This window comes from Homo sapiens, chromosome 4, assembly GCF_000001405.40.
Source record: "Homo sapiens chromosome 4, GRCh38.p14 Primary Assembly".
NCBI classification, from domain to species: Eukaryota; Metazoa; Chordata; class Mammalia; order Primates; family Hominidae; genus Homo; species Homo sapiens.
The window spans coordinates 86,426,236-86,450,178 of NC_000004.12; the positions used below are offsets into that span (position 1 = coordinate 86,426,236).

General features: G+C 37.2%; 1 protein-coding gene across 6 annotated transcripts in view, besides 1 other annotated feature; it reads right to left on the reverse strand.

Moving 5' to 3' along the window:
* Nucleotides 1-23,943, reverse strand: part of MAPK10 (mitogen-activated protein kinase 10) — a 583,670-nt gene that overhangs the window by 415,831 nt on the left and 143,896 nt on the right. The gene's annotated exons all lie outside the window — the stretch shown is intronic.
* Nucleotides 6,418-6,960: an enhancer, noted in NCBI's record as "NANOG hESC enhancer chr4:87353806-87354348 (GRCh37/hg19 assembly coordinates)". NCBI's record gives its function as "activates a minimal SCP1, AML or CMV promoter by ChIP-STARR-seq in naive H9 embryonic stem cells {active_cell/tissue: H9 hESC(naive)}" and the evidence as "EXISTENCE:reporter gene assay evidence [ECO:0000049][PMID:30033119]".

Consider the following 23,943-nt stretch of genomic DNA (forward strand, 5'->3'; position numbering starts at 1 on the left):
TATTTTTATTATAATCTTTAAGATGCTTATGTTCGAGATAATTGGTCTGCCACTATGGATTGGATGCTTAAATCCTTTTCAGAATAAAAATGCAAGCAGATTGTGAACTTTACCCTAACATGCAAATTCCCAACTAAGATGCTGTTTTCTACTTGAAGTAAATGAAACATTTTATTACTGGGTGATCAGAAAATCTGGCCTTTTCAAGTTTTCAGCCAGGGGCTAGAGAAGTACATCTCCTCTGAAAAAATTTTAGAGGAATGGTGGGAGACAAAATAAATTTGCATTTAGATTCCGTCCTAAAAGTTGTGTTGGTTCAACCCACCAGTTCCACAAGTTGGGAAAATGTTACATACTGCAGCACCCTTTTAGGGAACTCATAAAGTACCTGAAAAACACATCAGGAAAGTTGCATGCTAAATATCTTTAATCCTGTATATCCCAAACTTATTCGAGCATGGATCCCTTTCTGTTCCTACGTCCTGGAATCGGATAGCTCTTGTGCAAGTCATTTTACCTAGTTTAGCCTGAATTTGCCCATCTTTAAAATAGAAATAATACTAGTACCTACCTCATATTTCATTTGAAAGAATAAAGTGGTTTAATGAATGTAAAGTATTTAGCACATAAAAAGTATTCTATAAATGCTAGGGAAGGAAAAATCATCTGCAGAAAGTCAGTGCCTAATTTTTTATCTTTTCGACTCTATCACTTTTTTTGAAAAAAAAAATTAAAGCTATGGCCGGGCGCAGTGACTCACGCCTGTAATCCCAGCACTTTGAGAGGCTGAGGCGGGCAGATCACGAGGTCAAGAGATCGAGACCATCCTGGTTAACGCGGTGAAACCCGTCTCTACTAAAAATACAAAAAAATTAGCCGGGTGTGGTGGCATGTGCCTGTAATTCCAGCTACTCAGGAGGCTGAGGCAGGAGAATGGCGTGAACCCGGGAGGCAGAGCTTGCAGTGAGCCGAGATCGCGCCACTGCACTCCAGCCTGGGCGACAGAGCAAGATTCTGTCTCAAAAAAAAAAAAAAAAAAAAAATTAAAGCTGCATTAATTGATCAAATATGGTTTCCAAGTCAATGCAGATTATCTATGTCACTCTCTCAACGATGCAACGTTCACCTTTGGTAGCTAACCAAAGACGAGTCTAGTGGCCTCCTACTCTCCTCTGACTACCATAGTTTCCCCATTGAAACCCCACTCATATCTCCCTCAATCAAAAGGATGCGTTTCTTGTCTTCATCAGATTCTTCCTTCCTTCTTTGTCTCATTTATCTCTGAATCCATAGGACCTAAGTTCTATCCCACATCAGGTGCCCAATGAATGTTTAAGGAAAGCAGAAAGGAAAAAGAAAAGGAAAAGATGGAAGAGGAAGAGGATTAAAATGTTTCATTTCAAGACATGACAGATTACATAGCATTCTCTAACTTATATTGACAGGTTAAAAGAGTTGGACTAACTTCTATAAACAAATTTCTCATTTCATCTCTCTTCTTCAAATATGTTAAAATTTTTATACTTTATTTCTGTTCTTTAGTGAGTGACCTAAAATACAAAATGTATAGCTATCTTAATATCAGAAGATATAATTTTTCCCTCCTCTCAATTATTATAAAGACTTCAAATACTTTAATTCGGGCCACACCTTCTCATCTTGAAAACTACTGTTTTCTGGTATTTTAACTTACCTGGATCTTTTTTTAGCTCTGTCAAAAGACAAAATTACAATAAAAATCTAGCTGGCTTTTATTTTGACTTCTAGTATCAGCAACACCTTATTCTGTAAAGTAGAATGAGTGCTCCATTGAGCTCAGCAGATGAGGTTGACTTTATGGGCAGAAAAAGGGCTGAAGAAAGCAGAAGCAGAGAACAAAAAGCAGATTGGTGTTTTCAAAGTTACTTTTTTTTTTTTTTTGAGACAAGGTCTTTTTGCTCTGTCGCCCAGGCTGGAGCAGCAAAGTGGTACAATAACGGCTCACTGCAGCCTCAACCTCTCAGGCTAAAATGATCCTCCCACCTAAGCTTCTCCAGTAGCTGGGACCACAGATGCATGCCACCATGCCTGGCTAATTTTTGTATTTTTTGTTTTTGTATTTTTTGTGGAGACAAGGTTTCACCATGTTGCCCAGACTGGTTTTGAACCCCTGTGCTCAAACAATCCTCCCACTTTGGCCTCCCAAACTGCTGGGATTACATGCATGAGCCATCATACCTGGCCGTCAAAGTTACTTTCTTTATATAGGGTTAAAACAGAGGGGACTTTCCTGTTATGCTGACTCAGGTTGACTAGAATCTTCTGTTTTGGGAAAACTAAGATGGATAGATAGATAGATAGATAGACAGATAGACAGATAGATAGACAACTTTTCTCATTTTTTGACTGACAATTATGACTTGTCCCTCTGCCTTGAGAAAAGTGCTATGTTTTTTCAAAAATAGAAATGGTATATTTATCAGAGTCCTTCCACAATGTAAGGCTAAGGAATTACATTCTTATTAACATTTCACAATTTCTTTTTTTAACACAAATTCTCCTCACCCACAAGGCATATTCACAGTAAGCAGAATACAGCCCAATACTTGAATTTATGTACTAAATGATAAGGAAATAGCTGTACATCATCATTATCTCCAAATAGACTGAGGATCCTTTTTCATCTTTCAAGATGCAAATTTCATCATCCTATTGAATTTATTCTCTGCATAAAACATTAGCATTTACCAAGGTTCTTGCGGGGTTTTTCTGTTTTTGTTTTTAGCATAGGAGGACTTCTGAAGAATCGCTATATGTGAATAATAATATTATCATTGAACAAGGTTTTAAAAACCACATTACTCATTTTTGGTATATTATCAATATTTTTCTTTCTTTCTTTCTTTTTTGGAAGATTATCTGGGCCTGCCGCTTGCTTCCTCAGCACAATTGAACACATAATTACTATGTAAATTTAGGTTTCCACATGCTTCCAGGGGAACATAGACCATTTGGTATCGGAGATTTCGAAGCCTTAATCATTTGGAATATGGTACATTCGACTTAATCTGTAAAATGAAGATAATTCTTATCTGCCTTGCAGAATTTTATAAGGATTAATTACTTAATTTTGGTTAAGCAATTTGAACATGAAAAACATTACATAAATGAAGGCAAGTCCTAATATTATTAAAAAAGATTACTGAGCAGAGAAGCACAGAGATATCTTTTCTGTTTATTATTCTGTTATTATCATATATAATTAGATCATTATCTAATAATTGTTTAGATTACAAAATATAAAACAGGCAGGGCACAATGGCTCATGCCTGTAATCCCAACATTTGGGAGGCCAAGGTAGGAGGATTCCTTGAGGCCAGGAGTTCAAAACCAGCCTGAGCAACATAAAGAAACCCCACCTCTACAAAAAATAAAAAAATTACCTAGGCATGGTGGTGCATACCTGTAGTCCCAGCCATTGGGAAGGCTGAGGCAGGAGGATCACTCAAGCACAGGAGTTTCTGGCTGCAATGAGCTATGATAATGCCACTGCACTCCATCCAGCCTGGGTGACAGAACTAGATCCTGTCTCTGTTTAAAAAAAAAAAAAAGGTAAAACACATAACTTTTTTTTTCAGTACCTGATACTCACATATGTGTTTTCCTTTCTTCACAAAAATATCATTGAGTATACCATTACCATTAAAATCTGTGATTCTCTAATACTGTAATATTAACTTATTTCATAAAATATTGTGATATGGCTCAGACCATTGAAGTTATTTTTGGTTGGGAGAGTATCGATAAGAAATGGCAAGTCTCTTTTAAGAATTATTTGCTTTAAGTTAAAAAGTCAGGTATATATAGATATACCTTTAAAATCAAGTCCCATGACCAATGATGAAAGAATGCACTCCATTTTCATTAAGGATTTAAAGATGCCCTACTACGTACCCATGTAGATTCCTGGTCATATGAAAGAATACTCAAGAATAATTATTGATTGAAAATCCAACATTCTATAAGAAGAGAAGGAAGAATAAAACAAACATAAAACTGGTCCATGTTATTAAATGTATCAATGGTTTTCATTTTCTACAGCATAAAGTATGAATTCATTGGCACGGTACTAAAGTCTTTGTCTACCGCCCAACTCTCAAGTCTTTTTCTTTCCTTCAACCAATATATTTTAAACAATTATTTACCAAGTATCCATTGTGTGTTTGGCCCTTTGGTAGGTGCTAGAAATACAAAAGGAGAGAGAGAGAATTCCTGACAGCGCAAAGTTTAGACATTGGCAGGAGATACCGATATTTAAATAAACGAGTAGTTATATACCATAGAGTTGGGTCAAGAGCTATGAAGGCTATTATAGGATTGCAAGAAAGGCATATAATCTAAGGAGTACAAAAATTGTCTCTACAAAAGCGCCATTTAAGCTAAGACCTAAAGAACAAAAAATTGTCCAGTCAAAATTATAGGTGAATGAAGAGGTGTGGCAGTACATGTGAAGGCCCTGAGAGGAAAGGGGACTGGCACATTAGAGGAAAAGGGAAAAAACGTCACGATACAGAAAGTGGCTGCAAACGAGGCTACAGAGGTAGATGGGGCGCCAGATCAGAGAAGTCTTGTAAGTCAATATAGGACCTTACCCTGAGAACAACGGAAAAACCATTGAAATATTTGAGGCAGTTGTGTGAAATATTCGTATGCTTTTCAAAAATTATTCTGGCTGTTTATATGGGGAAAAAACTGACAGAAACAGGAATAAAAGCCAGGCTATTATTATAAGAAGGCTATTGCAATGGCTTAGGCTAGAAAAGATGGTAGAAAAGAAGGAAAGGAGCAAGAAAGAGAAGGAGAGAGAGAGGAAGAGAGGAAAGGAGGAAGAAAAGAGAAAGAAAAGAAAAAAGAAAAGGAAGATAACCTTTTAACAGTTTCAAGTCAAATGACAATTAAGAAAAAATATTTTACACTCATACCAGGCAAAGAGCTAATTCCAATAATATATAAAGAACTTCTATACATCAATAAGACTAACAAATCAATTTTTAAAATGGGAACAAATAAACAGTTTAATAAAAAGGATATATAAACGTTATAAACATGAAAAGATATTCATGACAAGAGAATTAAACATTAAAATGACTGATATTTTTCACTTAAAATATTGACAACATTGAGGGTCCAAGTGAATGCCAGTTTGGCAGTTTAGACAAGTGTCATCTGACAAAACAGAATTTCTACAAAATATTTTATATTATATTCATGGAAATTCACATTGTATTCTCCCATAAAATACATACAAAATCCTAAATATAGAAATAGTATTTAATTTGGCTTAACCCAGTGTTGCAGGTATCAACTAAATTAGAAAGAGGAGCTTTACTCCTTGTTAAAGTTTGCAGCCAGCAGAGTGGCCATTCTGACAGGCTGGTCAGCGTAGCCTTTGGTCAGAAGCTAGAAACAAGCACTTCAAGGGAGGAGTAAAGGAAACAGGAATTTATGCTGAGCAGGATGGCCAAATATACATATTTACTAAGCTATAGGAAGAGTCGTGTTATGAAAAGAGAAACATGTGCATTCGCATTGAGCTTCATGCCTCTCCATGGGACCCGTGTTTAAAAAAATGGCAATATTAGCATGATCCGAGGGTGGAGTTTTCAGCCCTATGATGTCAAAAGGTGAAGCAGAGGACATGAAAACTCTCTCTGTGTATCCTCCTTACACTGCCCAGAACCACTTCATGGACAGCGGTCTTTTATTAGGAAGGAATGCTGGTCAGATGTTTTGTTGAAATCCAAAAGGAGAGGCAGCATCAGGCAGTGGGTTGATGTCAATGGCAGAGTCTTTTTAAAAAGCTGATTTCTGTGTAGCCCCTAGAGAAGAAAGCCTAATGGTGGTTAGCTAGCCAGGAGGGTCTAATGAGATGGGTCCAACCTCCCATCCCATTTTCACTGGGAACTCAGTTTTCAAGGTTTTTCTGGGGTCCCCTGGGCCAAGAAGAGGCCCATTCAGTCAGTTGGGGGCATAAGAATTGTTTTTTGCTTGTTTGTTTGTTTTGTTTTGTTTTGTTTGGAGATGGAATCTTGCCCTGTCACTGAGGCTGGAGTGCAGTGGTGTAATCTCCACTCACTGCAACCTCCATCTCCTGGGTTCAAGTGATTCTGGTGCCTCAGCCTTCCCAGTAGCTGGGACTACAGGTGCACACCAGGACGCCCAGCTAATTTTATTTTTGTATTTTTGGTAGAGACTGGGTTTCACCACGTTGGCTACGTTGGTCTCAAACACCAGACCTCAGGTGATCTGCCTGCCTCGGCCTCCCAAAGTCCTGGGATTACAGGCATGAGCTACCATGCCCAGCCAGGATTTCATTTTTGTTTCTCACAAATTGGGTCTTCAGAAAACAGACTCTAAGATGGAGATTTCCATGCAGGAACTTCATTAGGGAGTGGCCTAAGGGCTGGATCCAATGATAGGACTTGTTACAGAACTGCACTCACTACTTGTAGTGGGAATGAGAGGAGCCCAAAACAACAAAGCCAGGTGGTGGCAATCAATCCTCAGTGGCAAGATAGGCACAGTTACCATAATGGGCAACAAGGGCAGATGGCTTGACTCACAGGGATCAATGGAGATGGCAAACAAAGCATAAAGTTCTTCTGGGAAAGAGAAATAGGCAGCCAACAAGAATAATCCTTAATTTGCATAACCAAAGGCCATCTAGCCAGCTCATACCTGTGGGAGGGAGGAAGTAGAACAAAGGGTAAAAGCTGAAGATAATGAGTACTAATTATGGTCTCAGGATCAACTGTAGCAACAGGGGCTGTAGTTTGTCCCACTAACCCTCCTCTTGTAGATTTTTCCAGAAATTGTAACCAGCCAGAATTCTGGAGAAACCACACTTGTACAGAGGGAGGTTAATATGAGAAGCAAGTGGATTTCAGCAGTGCAAGGAGCAAGCTGCATCAGGCACTGTTGATGCCCCCTACCTACATCCCTTTACTCCATTGATGCCCACATTTGCCCCCTTTCTTTTGGTAATTGCCCTTGGACAACAGGAGCTGCCTCCCCAACCCCCATGCTGCAGGCCCCACTCTGAGGTTTTAGGCCCTCCAGGACCCCCAGCTGGAGCCAACCTGCAGCTAATACCAAAATACAAAAGGTTGGACTCCTTTCCTGAAGGCATGATCAACTTTTTGGTGCAATTAATACTCTAGAACTCCCTGTGGAATTATCCTGAAACTAGATTTCAACTGAGATCACATTCTTGCTTAACTTTTTTCCTCCCTCCTATGTGTGGTCCAGGATCAAAATATTATCACAGTCTGGGCCTTCTTCTTTTTTTTTTTTTTTTTTTTTTTTGTCTTATAGAGATGGAGTCTCACCATGTTGCCCAGGCTGGTCTCAAACTCCTGGGCTCAAGTGATCCTCCCACCTCAGCCTCCCAAGCTGCTGGGAATACAGGCATGAACTATCGCACCCAGCCTAGGCCTTCTTTAAAAACTGCTGGACCACGACTAGGCCGAGCTGTGCCCAGTCCAAGGCTCTAGTTCAAGGGAGCATTGAAGGAGGAAGGTTGACCCTTCAAGTCATCTAAATTAGTGTTTTTCAGCTGAACCTCATGACACATGAATGAGCCATGAAATCAATTTAGGGAGCTACCACTCCCATTTCTTAAACAAAATGTAACAAATTACAATAGAATAGAAACTCTCCACACGTATCACATGGAGAAAAGCGTTTTTTCCATTGAAACTTTATTTCCACTATATATATGCAAGTTGATGTGTATGTATGTGACTCAGAATATAGAGTCATGATGTAAAATATATATTTGACATTGAGTTGTAGTCAATAAACTTTAACGCCATGAATCTAAACAGAAAAGAAATGGTGACAAAGGTACCAAGAACATGCAGTGGGGAAAGGACAGTCTTTTCAATAGACGATACTGGGAAAACTGGAGAACTATATGCAGAAAAATGAAACTAGACCCCCTATCATGCACCATTGGTCTGGGCAAAGAGTTTTTGTATAAGACCTAGAAAGCATGAGCAACCAAAGTAAAAATGGACAAATGGGATCACATTAAGCTAAAAAGCTTCTGCACAGCAAAGGAAACAATCAAGTGAAGAGACAACCCACAGAATGGGAGAAAACATTTGCAAACTATCCATCTGACAAGGGATTAATAACAAGAATATGTACAGAACTCAAACAACTCTGTAGCATAAAAACAAATAACCAATTTAAACATGTGCCAAAGATCTGAACAGACATTTCTCAAAAGAAGGTATACAAATGGCCAACAGGTATATAAAAAACCTGCTCAACGTAAGTAACCATCAAAGAAATACAAATCAAAACCACAATGAAATGTCATCTCACACCAGTTAAAAGGCTTGTATCAAAAGGACAGGCAATAACAGTTGCTGGCAAGGATGTGGAGAAAGGGGAAACCTCGTACGCTGTTGATGAGAATGTAAATTAGTACAGCCACTATGGAGGACAGTAGGAAGGTTCCTCAAAAAACAAAAAATAGAACTACCATATGATGCAGCGGTCCCATTGCTGGGTATGTAGCCAAAAGAAAGGCAATCAGTGTATTGAAGAGACATCTGTACTCCTACGATTATTGCAGCACTATTCACAATAACCAAACATGGGATCAACCTGTGTCTGTCAATGAATGAGTGGATAAATAAAATATGATCTATATACACAATGGAATATTGCTCAGACATAAAGAAGAATGATATCTGATCATTTGCAGCAACATGGACGAAACTGGAGGTCATTACATTAAGTGAAATAAGCCAACCACAGAAAGACAAATATCACATTCATATGCGGGATCTTAAAAAGTGAATCTCATGAAGATAGAGAGTAGATTGGTGCTTACCAGAGGCCAGGAAGGGGCCAGGGGATGAAAGGGAAAAAAAGAATATAAAGGTAGTTATAACTGCTGAACTGTCCACTTAAAAATGGCAAAGATGAGGCCAGGCGCAGTGGCTCATACCTGTAATCCCAGCACTTTGGGAGGCTGAGGCGGGCGGATTACCTGAGGTCAGGAGTTCGAGACCAGCCTGACCAATATGATGAAACCCAGTCTCTACTAAAAATACAAAAATTTACCGGGCATCGTGGCAGGCGCCTGTGATCCCAGCTACTCAGGAGGCTGAGACAGTATAATTGCTTAAATCCAGGAGGCAGAGGTTGCAGTGAGCCGAGATCACACCATTGCACTCCAGCCTGGGCAACAAGAGCAAAACGCCATCTCACAAAAAAAAAGGCAAAGATGGTAAATTTTATATGTATATTTTACCTTAATAAAAAAGAATAATTTTTTTAAAAAAGAAAAGAAAATATGTGATGCCATCAGAGCACCCACAGGCCATGACTAGAGCTCAAATATTTAATAATGCAGCCCCATTAGCTCCTGTCAACCAGCAAAGGCTACCTTCTGATTAGTCACTTTTGCTCTGGCTGTTAGGTCAGCTATAGACTCAATGCTCACTGAATTAATCCTCTAAAACCCAATTTCTGGAGTGCAGTTTTGATAATTATAGGCTTACTTAGTTAATAGTATTTATTTGGCTGTAATCTTACTTATTGAGCTGAGCCAAATTCAGCTAATATTAGAAACAAAACCTTCCAGGACTAACAATAGCCAGTGCAACTTTGTCTAAAAATCATTGTGTATATTAAATCATATCAAAGTCAATATCTAACCACAAACTTACTGATTAATTTATACCAAACATTTGCCCAAAAAAAGGTAATCATATTTTGTTAAAAATTCCTATACAGAAGCTGAAATCAACTTCTTTTTTTCTTTACCTTTCAAGATGAAATAACTTCAGAGAAAACTTTGAGGAAAGTCCTATTCAAGCAGGGAACTTGGAGAGTTCATAACCCCTCTTCCCTGGAGTTTATACTTCTGGCAACCTCAGTCACTTTGAGCAACACTAGACCCTGAATATAAGTGTAAAGGGCTCTGAGTAACTCCTGGGTGGCCAAAATGAAACTCACAAAGTCTGAGCACTAAAATCCTTTTAGTTTTATTACAATCATTTTTAGTCATTTTATGTTTTTATTGATTTTCCAATCGTAGCACATTTGAGGCAGAAAATTACTAAAATAAGTTACAGTTAGAAGCAAGCATAATGATAGCAAAAGAAATTGTAGCTAACAACCCAGTGAGTTAAGAGATAGGAAAACTATCAAAACTTTGACAAGACAGCAAACACATGGCAATCGATGGTCATTTAGTATAGGCACCAATGTAGCCTTTTTTTGATGTATTTTTTAATTGTTTTTTAAATTTTCATATTCTAATAGTTTTGTTGCTGATGTGTAGAAATAAAATTTACTTTTATATACTGACTTTGTACCCAACAACCTAGCTAAATGTACTTAATTCTAAAATTTAGTTGTGGGAGCTCTTGGATTTCATATGTATCCAGTCATGTCACTTGTGATATAAAGATATAATATTGACTGTTGTATAGTTAATATATCAAGATATATGAAGATAGAAAAATGATTATTTTATATCTTCCTTCCCAATACCTATATTTTTCTTGCCTTATTTCCCTGGTAGGGACCTCACATAAAAAAATTAAATAGAAGTGATGATAAAAGGCATCTCCTTGTGTATTTGCTTACATCAGAGAAAAAGTTTTCAATATTTCACCATTAAAAATGATGTTTGGCCAGGCCTGGTGGCTCATGCCTGTAATCCCAGCACTTTGGGAGGCCAAGGTGGGCAGATCACGAGGTCAGGAGATCGAGACCATCCTGGCTAACACGGTGAAACCACATCTCTACTAAAAATGCAAAAAAAATAAGCCAGGCGTGGTGGCAGGCACCTGTAGTCCCAGCTACTCGGGAGGCTGAGGCAGGAGAATGGCGTGAACCTGGGAGGTGGAGCTTGCAGTGAGCCAAGATCACGCCACTGCACTCCAGCCTGGGCGACAGAGTGAGACTCTGTCTCAAAAAAAAAAAAAAAAAAAATGATGTTTGCCCCAGATGTTTTATGGATATTCTTCATTAAACTAAGGAAGCTCTCTTCTCTTCTGTTTGCTGAGTGGTTTTTTAAATCTTGATGGGATATTATAGTTTATCAAATGCTTTTTTTCTTCTATTTAGATAACTAAATGATTTTTCTCTTGTATTCTGTTATTTGTGCAGAATTACATAAATTGATATTTCAAATGCCAAGCCCACTTTGCGTTCAAGGAAACCCACATCATGGGTTATGATATACTATCTTTTATAGGCTGCTAGATTCTATTTGCTAATAACTTAAGATTTTATGTCTATGAGAAAGATTAGCCTATAATTTTCCTTTACTGTTGTGTCTTTGTCAATTTTATATCAAGTATGAATGATGAGGTTGCAGAGGAAATTGAATTCTTATACACAGCTGCTGAAAGTATAACCACTTTGAAAAGTTGTTATCATATCTTTTTATGCTGATCATATGCATAACCTATAATCTCACAATTCTACTCCTAGTGATATACCAAATAGGAATAAATACATACATGTACCAGAAGACATGTTCAAATATGCTCATAACAGCATTAACTGTACAGCACAAAACTGGGGGAAAAGACATAATTGCCCCTCAAAAGTAAAATGCATAAATAAACTGTACTATGCTCACTCAATGGAATATTCTATAACAATAAAAAAGGAAGAAAGTGCTGCTATACACACTATCATGATTTAATCTCATAAACATGTTGTTCAAAAGTCAAACAAAAATGAAAGTATATGCTGAATGATGCCACTTATATAAAGTTCAGAAGTAAGCAAAACAGATCTATAATGCTAGGAATTCAGGGCATTGGTTACCTTCAAGAGGGAATTAGTCACTGATAGAGGGCATAAATGGGGGAGGAGGGATTATGAATTACTACTAATATTCTAATTCTTGATCTGGGTGGCAATTTCGCTTACTGAAAATTTATACAGCCATGTGCTTACATTTAGTATGTCTTTCTTTATTGTATGTTATACTTAAATAAATATGCTTATAAAAGAGATCATTGGGTAAAAGTAATTAAAAATATGATCATGCATTTTATCTTTATGATGATCATATTATAAAGTGTAAAATTGGAGGTTGTGTTAGTTCAGGTCTTGCAAGAAGCATCTGCCAAGACATGATTTAACATGCAAGGGCTGGGCACAGTGGCTCATGCCTGTAATCCCAGCACTTTGGGAGGCCGAGGGGGGTGGATCATCTGAGGTCAGGAGTTCTAGACCAACCTGGCCAACATGGTGAGAACTTGTCTGTACTAAAAATACAAAAATTAGCTGGGTGTGGTGGCAGGCGCCTATGATCCCAGCTACTCAGGAGGTGGAGGCAGGAGAATTGCTTGAACCCAGGAGGTGGAGGTTGCAGTGAGCTGAGATCGTGTCTTTGCACTGCAGCCTGGGTGACAAGAGCAAAACTCCATCTCAAAAAAAAAAAAAAAAACATGCAAGGATTTTTTGGGAAATGCCTGTGTGAAAGAAATTGAGGGGGCCAGTAAGACTGAGGGAACCATCAGACTACCATGCAAGTCTGACTCGAGCAAAGGAAGAAAGGAGGGAGGGGTGGAAGCATACCACATTATGGTGTAGTCTAAGGAAGTTTCAATGAGGCCACTGGGGAGCCCCGTGACTCCCAGGAATGGGCCTACTTTAGTATCCCAACTAGTCACTAGCAAATGCAGCAAAGGATTTCAAGCCAGCAGCTGGGCCCTTTGGTCAATCATGCTGACTGTGGTTCGATGGCTGCAATGTGCATTCTTATGGTGGCCAAGAGGTTTCAGCATGATATTTTCTTTTTCCTGTTAAAAATAGATTTTTATTTTTATTTTCATTTTTAAAAATTTTTATTTGCCTTTTTAATTTACCTATGGTAAAATTAGCACTTTTTGATGTACAGGTCTATGAGTTTTGAAAAATGCATATAGTCATATAGCTGCAACCACAATTAAGATATTTATCAGTTCTCTTACCCTAAAAGTTTCCTCATGGTGCACCTTTAAAGTCAGCCTCTCACCCCATCTCCAGCCTCTGGCAAACATTAATCTCTTTTCTATTCCTATAATTTTCCCTTTTCTAAAATATAAATTAAATCATATATTATGTAGCCTGTTCAGTATTAATGCATTAGATATTCATTCATATTCTTATGTGCATCAATAAGTTCATTCCTTTTTATTGCTGAGTAGCCTTCCACTTTATGGATGTACCACCACTTTTTTATCCATTCATCAGATGAGAACATTTGGGTTGTTTCCAATTTGGGGCAATTGTGAAAAAGCCACTACAAATATTTGCATATATGTTCTTATGTAGACAGACGTTTTCCTTTCTCTTGGATAAATACCTAAAGGTAGAATTGCTGGGTTATATTGTAAGTGTATGTTTAATGTTAAAGAAACTGTCAGACGGTTTTTGAAAGTGTCTGTAGTATTTTTTATTCCTACCAGCAACGTGTGAGAGTTCTAGTTGTTACATATTCTTATTATTACTTGGTATAGTCAGGTTTGTTTGTTTCTTGTTTTTTGTTTTAGCCAATCCAATAGGTGTCTAGTACTAACTCATTTCTTCTTTGGTAAAGTATCTGTCCAAATATAACTAAGTATTATATATTTTAATCCAAGAAAAAAAATCAGCCTTCTAGCCCCAAAATTTCTGTTCAAACATTTCCTGAGTTTTAGGTGATTGTTTTTATATGAGAAGAAATATAAAAACATTTAAGGGAAATCCTCTCATCTCTCCTCAAAATGTAAAGCTGAGTGGGAATACAAATTTTTCTTCTGAAATAGTTTTGCAAAAATAAATATTTCAAGATATTTAATCACCAAAACAGCACAGGCACTAAACAACCAGAGTAGACACAAGATATAGACTATATGTGTCTCTAGGATATACTAGCTGAATATTTGCCCTGGCTGACAAAACATATCAAAATTCTCAAAAATGGGCATGTTCTTTGAACTACAAATTCCATATTTAATAATGTATTATAAGGAACTAATTAAGGAACATAGAGCTATATATATTTATACACATATACATGCCAACACACACAAGTACATTCAGTGTTGTTTGTGATATAAGAATGCTGAACATGGCCAGGTGCCCTCATGCCTGTAATCCCAGCACTTTGGGAGGATGAGGCAGGAATATCTTTTGAACCTAGGAGTTCAAGATCAGCCTGGGCAAGTGAGATCCTGTCTCTACAAAAAATAAAAAAATTAGCCAGGCATGGTGGCACATGCCTGTAGTCTCAGCTACTTAGGAGGCTGAGGTGGGAGATTGTTTGAGCCCAGAAGGTTGAGGCTGTAGTGAGCTGATCACACCACTGCACTCAAGCCTGGGTGACAGAGCGAGATCCTGTCTCAAAAAAAAAAAAAAAGGAATGTAACTGTCCAATATGAAATTATTGAAATAAAATATAATAGAATATGTCCATACAGTGGCATATGTCATTTAAAATGATGTTTCTGGTATGAGTCCACTGATATTTTAAAAAGTATTCATGATAAATCATTAAGAGAAAAAGGCAGACCACAAAAGGTATTACATGTTCCTCCTTAACTACATGTGTGCATATGAGTGGGTGTTCGGAAATATTTACACAGAGTAACAAATATAATAATTGATGTTTTTCTCTCTGTATTTTCTGATTTTCTGAAACAAGTATTGCTTTAGTAATGGGGAAGGAGGAGGAATACAAGCAAAGCATTACAGAGAAATAAAAGCATCATAATTAATTATTAATAGTGATGGATGAATCATCAAGAAAAACTTAAAATGTGTTTGGTGTAGATTAAAGATTTCAGATTCATATAAAATATTAAACTATTATATTTAATTGATTAGGTTTCATTTGTATAGAGAAAACCTCATTCCTCAGCATTGCCAGATATAGGAAATGGGATGTATTTTCATGTGCATGTTTGCATGTATATAATGTGTGTGTGACTGTCTTGTTTCTACAAAGTAAACCTGGGAGTAGCTAGGCATTTTCACTTAGTCATAGAGAATTTTTTACCTAGAGGGCAATGTTCTGATTCATCCCAAAGCCTGCCCCAGAATTGCTAAAATACCCTTATTCGTATTCTGCTGCAAGCATTGAGTTCACAGAGTAACTCACGCTTCAACAGTTTCTCTCAGTTTAGGTTCAAAGAGACCTACTTTTGCATTGCGTAGTTACAGAAACCATATGAACCTTTTAGCCACAAAGCACATGTTCCAGGGACATGCTATTTCACAATAGAAATTTCAGGCTTCAAACTATGGCTTTAAAATAGTTCATATGACTGTGTAGAATTCTTTTTGCTTAAAGCTAGAAACAAGCATTTTCCTAAACATAAGGTATTTTCCAAGTCATTCAAAAGCACTGTACTTTTCAAAGCAATTTCAAGCAAGGTCACAGCAACCTGACATGCCATGAAGACTCTAGTGATTTAAAAAACATGGACTAGGCTGTCAATCAGAGCAGAAACCCCATCCACACTAGGGACAGAGGAGAAACTTGATGGACAAGCATCTGTCTACTCCAGGGGCATCCAGGCTCCCCCTATTGTCCCCATGGAAGCCTCTCCTGCTGCTTCCTGGTATTTTGTTAATGAATAGAAACAGTAGTAAATTCCACTAGCATTTTGAAAAGATGTTTATTTCAATCCAGGGTCACAAAAGGGGCTGGGGGGTATCTTTTTGTGAGTTATTAAAGTATGTAGACAAAGATCAAAAAGGCTTAGCAAAAATTCGTACATTCCCTGGGAAATCCCGATGGAAACTAAATTAGCCTCTGACTCCTCCAGAACACATACAACTAATGCTTCATTTTTTCATTTTCTCTTGATCATCTGATCACCAAAAGCAGATGTATTCATGGCATTTTTCAAATAAAATGACAGCTAGAGTAAAGAATGCGAATAGATTTATGTGGTCTACTTTGAGTTGAATATGGTAGAACTTGTGACAATAATAATCCATATAATGTTATTTTTCAAAGTCTTTCAAATTATTTCAATATTTCAATCTTTTTTCATAGTAATTTTATTTACATTCTTATTACAAAATTTTCAAAAATATATTAGTTAATTTTATCCTAATGGCAACTATGAGATAAATATTATTGTCCCTATGTGAAAGCAAAGAAAACTATAAGCACTTGGAGGTTAATTAGCTTTCCTAAGGTCACACATACTCACCAGGTATTAGTACTTTGTTGTATCTGCTTTAAATATTTGCTTCTTTTTAGAAATAAAATATTACTCACATAGTGGGTGTCTCTGTTTTATTCCTCACTTATTTAATTCCTCCCTACATCCACAGAAGAAGAAATCACTATCCTAAGATGGTATGTACCTTTCTGTTAGATTTTTGTACTTACACATGTATGTATCCATAAACAACATATAGTATTGTTGTGTATCATTCTGTATCTGTTTTTTCCCACTCTGTTTCTGTGATAGAACAATCTTAAATTATTTAAATCCAGTACATTCCTTTACCTGTGTTACCGTATTCCATGATATGAATATACCATAATTTGATTATTCATTCTCCGAATGATATTTGGGATGTTTCAGATTTTTCAATATTTTAATAAAAATAACGCCACTGAGCCGAACTCCATTTTCCATCCAGCATGTAAGGAGCTTAGAAGTCAAAAACACCATTCTAACAACAAGGCAAAGCTAAACAAGCTGAACATCAAACACTTTTATGATCCATCAGAGAAGGGAGGTCACAGAGCAAAGCACTGCCCTGAAGAGACAGACAGGGACACTGAGAACCACAACTTCCCTGAGCAGAAACCTCTGAGGGAACCAGTGCCCCAGCAGGAAAACCTAAATTAGAATTGAGGAATTGCTGGCAGCTCTGAATAGATAAGTTTTTGTGTTGAAAACTCCAAGGAGACTCAGTCTTAGAGGGGATGCCCAAACTTTTGCAATTTTTACCTCCAGGAGCTCTATCAGCTTCTCACAGTGAAAATGGAAAAAAAAAAAAATTCCCTTGTGTTTCCAGCTGGGAGAGGTGAAAGTAACCATTTTGAAATACACCAAAGCATTCTGCTCTACTTAACAAGGCCTGCCCTCAGGAGAAACTATTTTACCAGCCCCTAACTTACTAGAGTTTTATCAGAGCCTAACCACCCTGCAGAAGCCAAAATATCCAACTCCCGTCCCCTCTAGTTTTCCATGTGGAGAAAAGAAAATACCCAACTCCAGCTCCCTCTAGCTATCCTGTCCCACCTAAGATGGGTGCAAGGAGAACCGAGAAGCACTTGTGAAGTTCACAGACCAAGGGCACAGCCTCGCTGAAAGACGAGACCTAATCACAGGACTATTGAGCCCTTTCCCACCACACACACACACAAACACACACACACGCACAAAACGCATCTTACCACCACATCAGTAAAGGCTTATTTTTAGCAGTTCCTGCTACACAGTACATCACGTCCACCTTTCAGCAAACAGTCCAGGGCACACTAAAAGGCAGAAAGCACAGTTGGAAGAGACTGAACAAGCATCAGAACAAGACTCATGGCATGAATGTTACAATTGCCAGACCATGAATTTAAAACAACTATGACTAACTTGCTAAGGGCACAAACGGAAAAAGTAGACAACATGCAAGAATAGATGCGTAATATAAGCAGAGGGAAGGAAATTATAAGGAAGAATCCAAACAAAGTGCTAGAGATCAAAAACACTGAACTAGAAATGAAGAATGTTTTTGGGAAAGAATCTGAGTTTGAGGATATGTCAATAGAAACTGAAAATTTAAAAAAAAAAAGACTGAAAAATAAAAAACAAAAAACAGAACATCCAAGAACTGCACAACAACTACAAAAGGTGTAATATATGCATAATGAAAATACCAGAATAAGAAAGCGAGAAAGCAACTGAAGGAATATCTGGAACAATAATGCCTGAAGATTTCCCCAAATTAATGTCAGACACCAAACCACAAATCCAGGAAGCTCAGAAAATACCAGGCAGAATAAATGCCCCAAAACTACAAAAATCGTATTCAAATGGCAGAAAATCAAAGATAAAGAAAAATTTTGAAAGAAGCCAGAGGGATTTAATAAATAGTGCTGGCAGAACTGGATAAACATATTCAAAAAATTGAAACTGGACCCCTTCCTTACACATTTTACAAAAATTAACTCAAGATGGATTAAAGACTTAAATGTAAAACCCAAAGCTAGAAAAAACATAGAAGAAAATGTAGGCAATGTCATTCAGGACATAAGCAAGGGCAAAGATTTTATGACAAAATCACCAAAAGCAAGTGTAACAAAAGCAAAAATTGATAAATGGGTTCTAATTAAACTAAAGAGCTTCTGCACAGCAAAAGAAACTATCATCAGATCAAACAGGCAACCTACAGAGTGGGATAAATATTTTGCAATCTATCCATTTCTCAAAGGTCTATCCAGAATCTACAGGGGACTTAAACAAATTTACAAGAAAAAAAAAAAACAACCCTATCAAAAAGTGGGCAAAGGACATGAACAGACACTTCTCAAAAGAAGACATTCATGCGGCCAACAAATATATAAAAAAAGAGCTCAACATCATTGATCATTAGAGAAATGCAAATCAAAACCACAATGAGATACCATCTCATGCCAGTCAGAATGGCTACTATTAAAAAGTCAAGAAACAACACATGCTGGCAAGGCTGTGGAGAAATAGGAATGCTTTTACACTGTTGGTGGGAATGTAAATTAGTTCAACCATTGTGGAAGACAGTGTGGCGATTCCTGAAAGATCTAGAACCAGAAATATCATTTGACCCAGCAATCTGATTTCTGGGTATATACCCAAAGGAATATAAATCATTCAGTTACAAAGATACATGCACACATATGTTCATTGCAGCATTATTCACAATAGCAAAGACATGGAATCAACCCAAATGCCCATCAATGATAAACTGGATAAAGGAAATGTGGCACATATACACCATGGAATACTATGTAGCCATAAAAATAAACGAGATCATTTCCTTTGCAGGGACATGAATGGAGCTGGAAGCCATTATCCTCAGCAAACTAATGCAGGAAGAGAAAATGAAACACCACATGTTCTCACTTATAAGTGTGAGCTAAATAATGAGAACACATGGACACAGGGAGGGGAACAACACATACTGGGGCCTGTCATGGGGAGGGAGAGTAGCAGGAAAAATAGCTAATGCATGCTGGGCTTCATACCTAGATGATGGATTGATAGGTGCAGCAAACCACCATGGCACACATTTACCTATGTAACAAACCTGCACATCCTACACGTGTGCCCTGGAACTTAAAATAAGGTTAAAAATAAAAATTTAAATTTACACTGAAAAACAAACAAACAAAAACAGAAAGAAGCCAGAGGGAAAAAACACTTTACCTATACAGGAGCAAAAATAAGAATTACATCTGACTTCTCAGAAGCCACACAAGCAAGAAAAGACGAGGGTTAAATATTTAAAGTATGTATGTAGAAGGGGAAAATAAAACTACTAACAGATCCTGTGAAATCCTTCAAAAGTGTAAGAGGCTTTCTCAAACAAAAATTGAGGGAATTTGTTGCCAGTAGACCTGCCTTGCAACAAATATTGAAAGAATGTCTTCAGAGAGAAGAAAAATAATATAGGTCAAAAACTCAAATTTACATAAAGAAAGGAAAGAGATTAGAGAAGGAATAAAGGAACAGGTAAAGGTAAAGAAAAAAATCTTAATTTTTCTTATTCTTAATTGATCTCACAGATAACAGTTTGTTCAAAATAATAATAGAAATAATGTATTTGATGATCGATTATAGCTTATGTAGAAGTGAAATGAATGACAGTAAGGCGCTGGAGGGCATAATACAAAGGGCAGAAGGGAAGAATTAGAAATACTCGATTATTGTTACAAGGTACTTGTATTATCTGTGAAGCAGTATAGCTCACTTTCAAATGTATTTGAAAGTGGATTTGGATTAGCTGTAAATGGACATTGCATACTCTAGAGTAACTACTAAATAAAGTAAAATCGTGGTAGCAATGTCCATTTCATAGATGCCATAGGTATCAGTTGCCAAGCATTAAAAATTCTAAGATAAAATAGTTGAGAATTACATTACCTAACACATTCAAGAATTTATTTATTTATTTTTTGAGAGAGTCTCACCATGTTGCTCTGGCTGGTTGAAAACTCCTGGCCTCAAGCAATCCTCCTGCCTTGGCCTCCCAAAGCTCTAGCATTACAGGCATTAGCTGACACACATAGCCCCAGTAAATATTTTTATTTTAAAAAAATGCCACTATAAACATTCATGTGCTTGTCTCCCTGAGCACATGTGGATGGAATTATTTAATCACAGGTCTTCAAAGGCATCTCTCTCTCTGCTAAGCATTATATTTATTCCCCAAAGTGGTTGCGCCAACTTGCACTCCCACCAGCAGTTCTTGATATGATATTTGCTATTACTCTCCATCCTTACTGATACTTCTGTCAAACTTTTAAATTTAGGGGTGTGAAATGCTGTGTCTCATTTAATTTGCCTCCCCCTAATTACTAATAAGGTTGATCATCTTTTCATGTGCTTCTCCTGAACTTCTTCTTCTTTGAATTACCTGTTCATATCTTTATTTTTCCCATGTGTTTGTCTTTTTTTATTGATGTTTAAGAGTCCTTCATATATTCTAAATAATAATTATTTGTTGGTTCTGTGTGTTACGAATACCTTCTCTCAGTCTTTGGAACTCATCTTTTCACTTATTTATGTTGCATGTTAAACGTTTGTAACATAAACTGTCCTTATAAGCAGAAGCAAACTACTTGTAAATATATACTGATACGGTTTGACTTTGTATCACCACCCAAATCTTATCTCAAATTGTAATCCCCAGGTGTTGAGAGAGGGACCTGGTGGGAGGTAATTGGATCATGGGGGCAGTTTTCCCCATGCTGTTCTTGTGATCGTGAGAGAATTCTGAAGAGATCTGATGGTTTTTTAAGGGGCTCTTCCCACTTCGCTTTGCTTTCTTCTCTCTCCTGTTGCCTTGTGAAGAAGGTTCTTGCTTCCCCTTCACCTTCCACCATGATTGTAAATTTCCTGAGGCCTCTGGAGCCATGGAGAACTGTGCGTCAGTTAAACCTCTTTCCTTTATAAATTACCCAGTCTTGGGTATTTCTTTACAGCAGTGTGAAAATGGACTAATACACATACTGTATAAACCAGGTTCTTGAAAATACTCTTCCCTGAGTTTACTGGTTTTGTTATTGTTATTTAACTTATTTTCTTTAATAGAGTATATGTACATGGCACAAAATTCAAAATACACAAAATGATAAACATAAACAGTAAATCTTCCTCCTTCCTCCTTCCAAGCAACTCAGTTCCTCTCCCACGATACAAACACTGGTGCTTTTTTTTTCTTTTTTGAATCTATGAAGATAAACCATGTATTGTAAACATTTATATATTTTGTTTTTCTACAACAATGGTAATATACTACACTATTATATTCCTTGAAGTTTTCTCCTAAAATGTGTATCTTAAAAATACATATATGTGTGTATCTCTAGATTATCTAGATTATCAGTATAATACATATAGAGTTAATTCTTTCTTTTTTACACCTACCTAGAATTCCACAAGCATGGGGGAATGTGTAGCCTAATGAGAGAATATGTCAGCTCTGGAGCATGATTAAATGAATTTCAGTCCCAGCTCCTCTATTTATTAGAAGCAAGTTAGTTGTGCTCTCTATGTCTCAGTTTCCCCTTTTCTAAATGAAAATAATAATGGTTCCTATCTCACACAGTTTTTGTGGGAGTTAGATTATGTTAATATGTAAAGAGCCTAGTAAATACTTAGCACATAAACACACATACACAAAAAAAACACATTCTTATTCTCACAAACCAATTTTTATTTAACCAACCTGTATTAGAGTCTATTTCACAGCTTTCTTTCCTTTTCATTAATATACTAGTACCACACTTTTAATTAATATAGCTTTATGTAGCATATACATATTAATATGTGCCTAGCAAATCCTCCCTAAATTTTCTCTCTATTTTTTTGTCAGAATTTTCTAGTCTATTGTTCCTTGATGATGTTTCCATATGAATCTTAGAGTCAACTAGTCTAATTAAAAAGAATTCTGGGTTTTTTTTTTTATCTTAAATTTATGGATTAACTAGAGAAATGTCAGTTTTGTAATAGTAAGACTTCCTATCCAAGAACATAATATGTCTTACCATTTGTCAAAGTATTCTTTGTGTTCTTTAGTAATATTTTAACTTTTTAAATGTAGATCTTATAAATTTCTTGTTAACTTTATTCCTAGGTATTTCATGTTTTATTACTATTATAAAAGGGCATTTTGTTCCATTACAGCTTCTAACCCAGCACTCCCCAACATTTTTGGCACCAGGGACCGGATTCATGGAAGACAATTTTTCCACTGACCAAGGGCAGAGCAGGGAGGTGGCTTCAGGATGATTCAAGTGCATTACATTTAATTGTGCACATTATTTCTATTATTATTACATTGTAATATATAATGAAAGAATTACACAACTCACCATAATGTAATATCAGTGGAAGCCCTGAGCTTGTTTTCCTGCAACTAGTCAGTCCCATCTGGGGGTGATAGGAGACAGTGACAGATCATCAGGCATTAGATTCTTATAGGTAGCGTGCAACCAAGATCCCTTGCATGCACAGTTCACAATAGGGTTCCTGCTTCTGAGAATCTAATGCCGCTGCTGATCTGACAGGAAGCAGAGCTCAGGCGGTAATGCAAGCAACTGTAAATACAGAGGAGGATCGCTGGCTCGCCACCCCCACCGCACCACCCCCACCTCACGACCCTGCTCACCTCCTGCTGTGCAGCCTAGTTCCTGTACCAGTCTGTGGCCCCAGGGGTTGGGGACCCGTGTTCTAACTGACTGTGGTTTGTTCCTTGTTTTCCAAGTGTCATTTTTAAATCTCCAGATCTAATCCTCCGTGAAAATGTCTTGCTCCCATAATCCATCAAAATCATCTGAAGCTCTGAGTTCACCAGCAGGTACTAACCAAAAAACACTACAAATGTCTTTATGGTCATGAAGGTAACATTTACCTCGCATTTATTTTAGAGACTTAGAACATAAATTCAAGTTAAAGCGTGCTTTATTTAAGACCACCAATGGTTTCAGTGACTCATATGTTTCAATAATATATTTCTTTACTCATATTTCAATTTACCATAGTACCATGACATGAAATGAAAAAACCTGACCCTAGTCAACTTCAATGTGATACATGAACAGATGATATGGTTTTGGGTATACTAAGTATGGTGTACCCATCCTAACATGACCCCCAATAAGTCATGCATGCTTTTGCAAAGTCTCCTTCAATGTGGAGGAAACTAGGAAACTGTGACTTGCTTTTTAGCCAATAGAATGTGGCAAACATAGTAGGATAGTCACTCTCTTTATTAGGTTATATTACGTGGCAAAGGCGATAGCATAGTCACTTCCGTGATTGTTACATTATATGAGACTTCATCCCAGAAGACTGGAGGACAAAATTTTCCTGCTGGTCTTGAGAAGTAACCTGCCATGTTGTAGGCGCACAAAGGGCAGCCTCTGGAAGATGAGAGTTACCCTGGCTAATTGCCAGCAACAAAATGAAGACTTCAGTTCTATAACCTCAGGAGCCTGCATTTTGCCAACAGTCACAGGAGCTTGAAAGAGGACCCTGAGCTCCAGAAGGAAATGCAGCCCAGCTGATCCTTTGATGTAATCTTGGGAAACTCTAAGCAGAGGAACTAGCTAAATTGTGCCTGAACTCCCAATCCACAGAAACGATGAGATAATAAATGTGTGTTGTTTTAAGCCAATAAGTTGTGCTAATTTGTCATAGCAGCAATAGAGAACTAATAAACTAAGTCAAA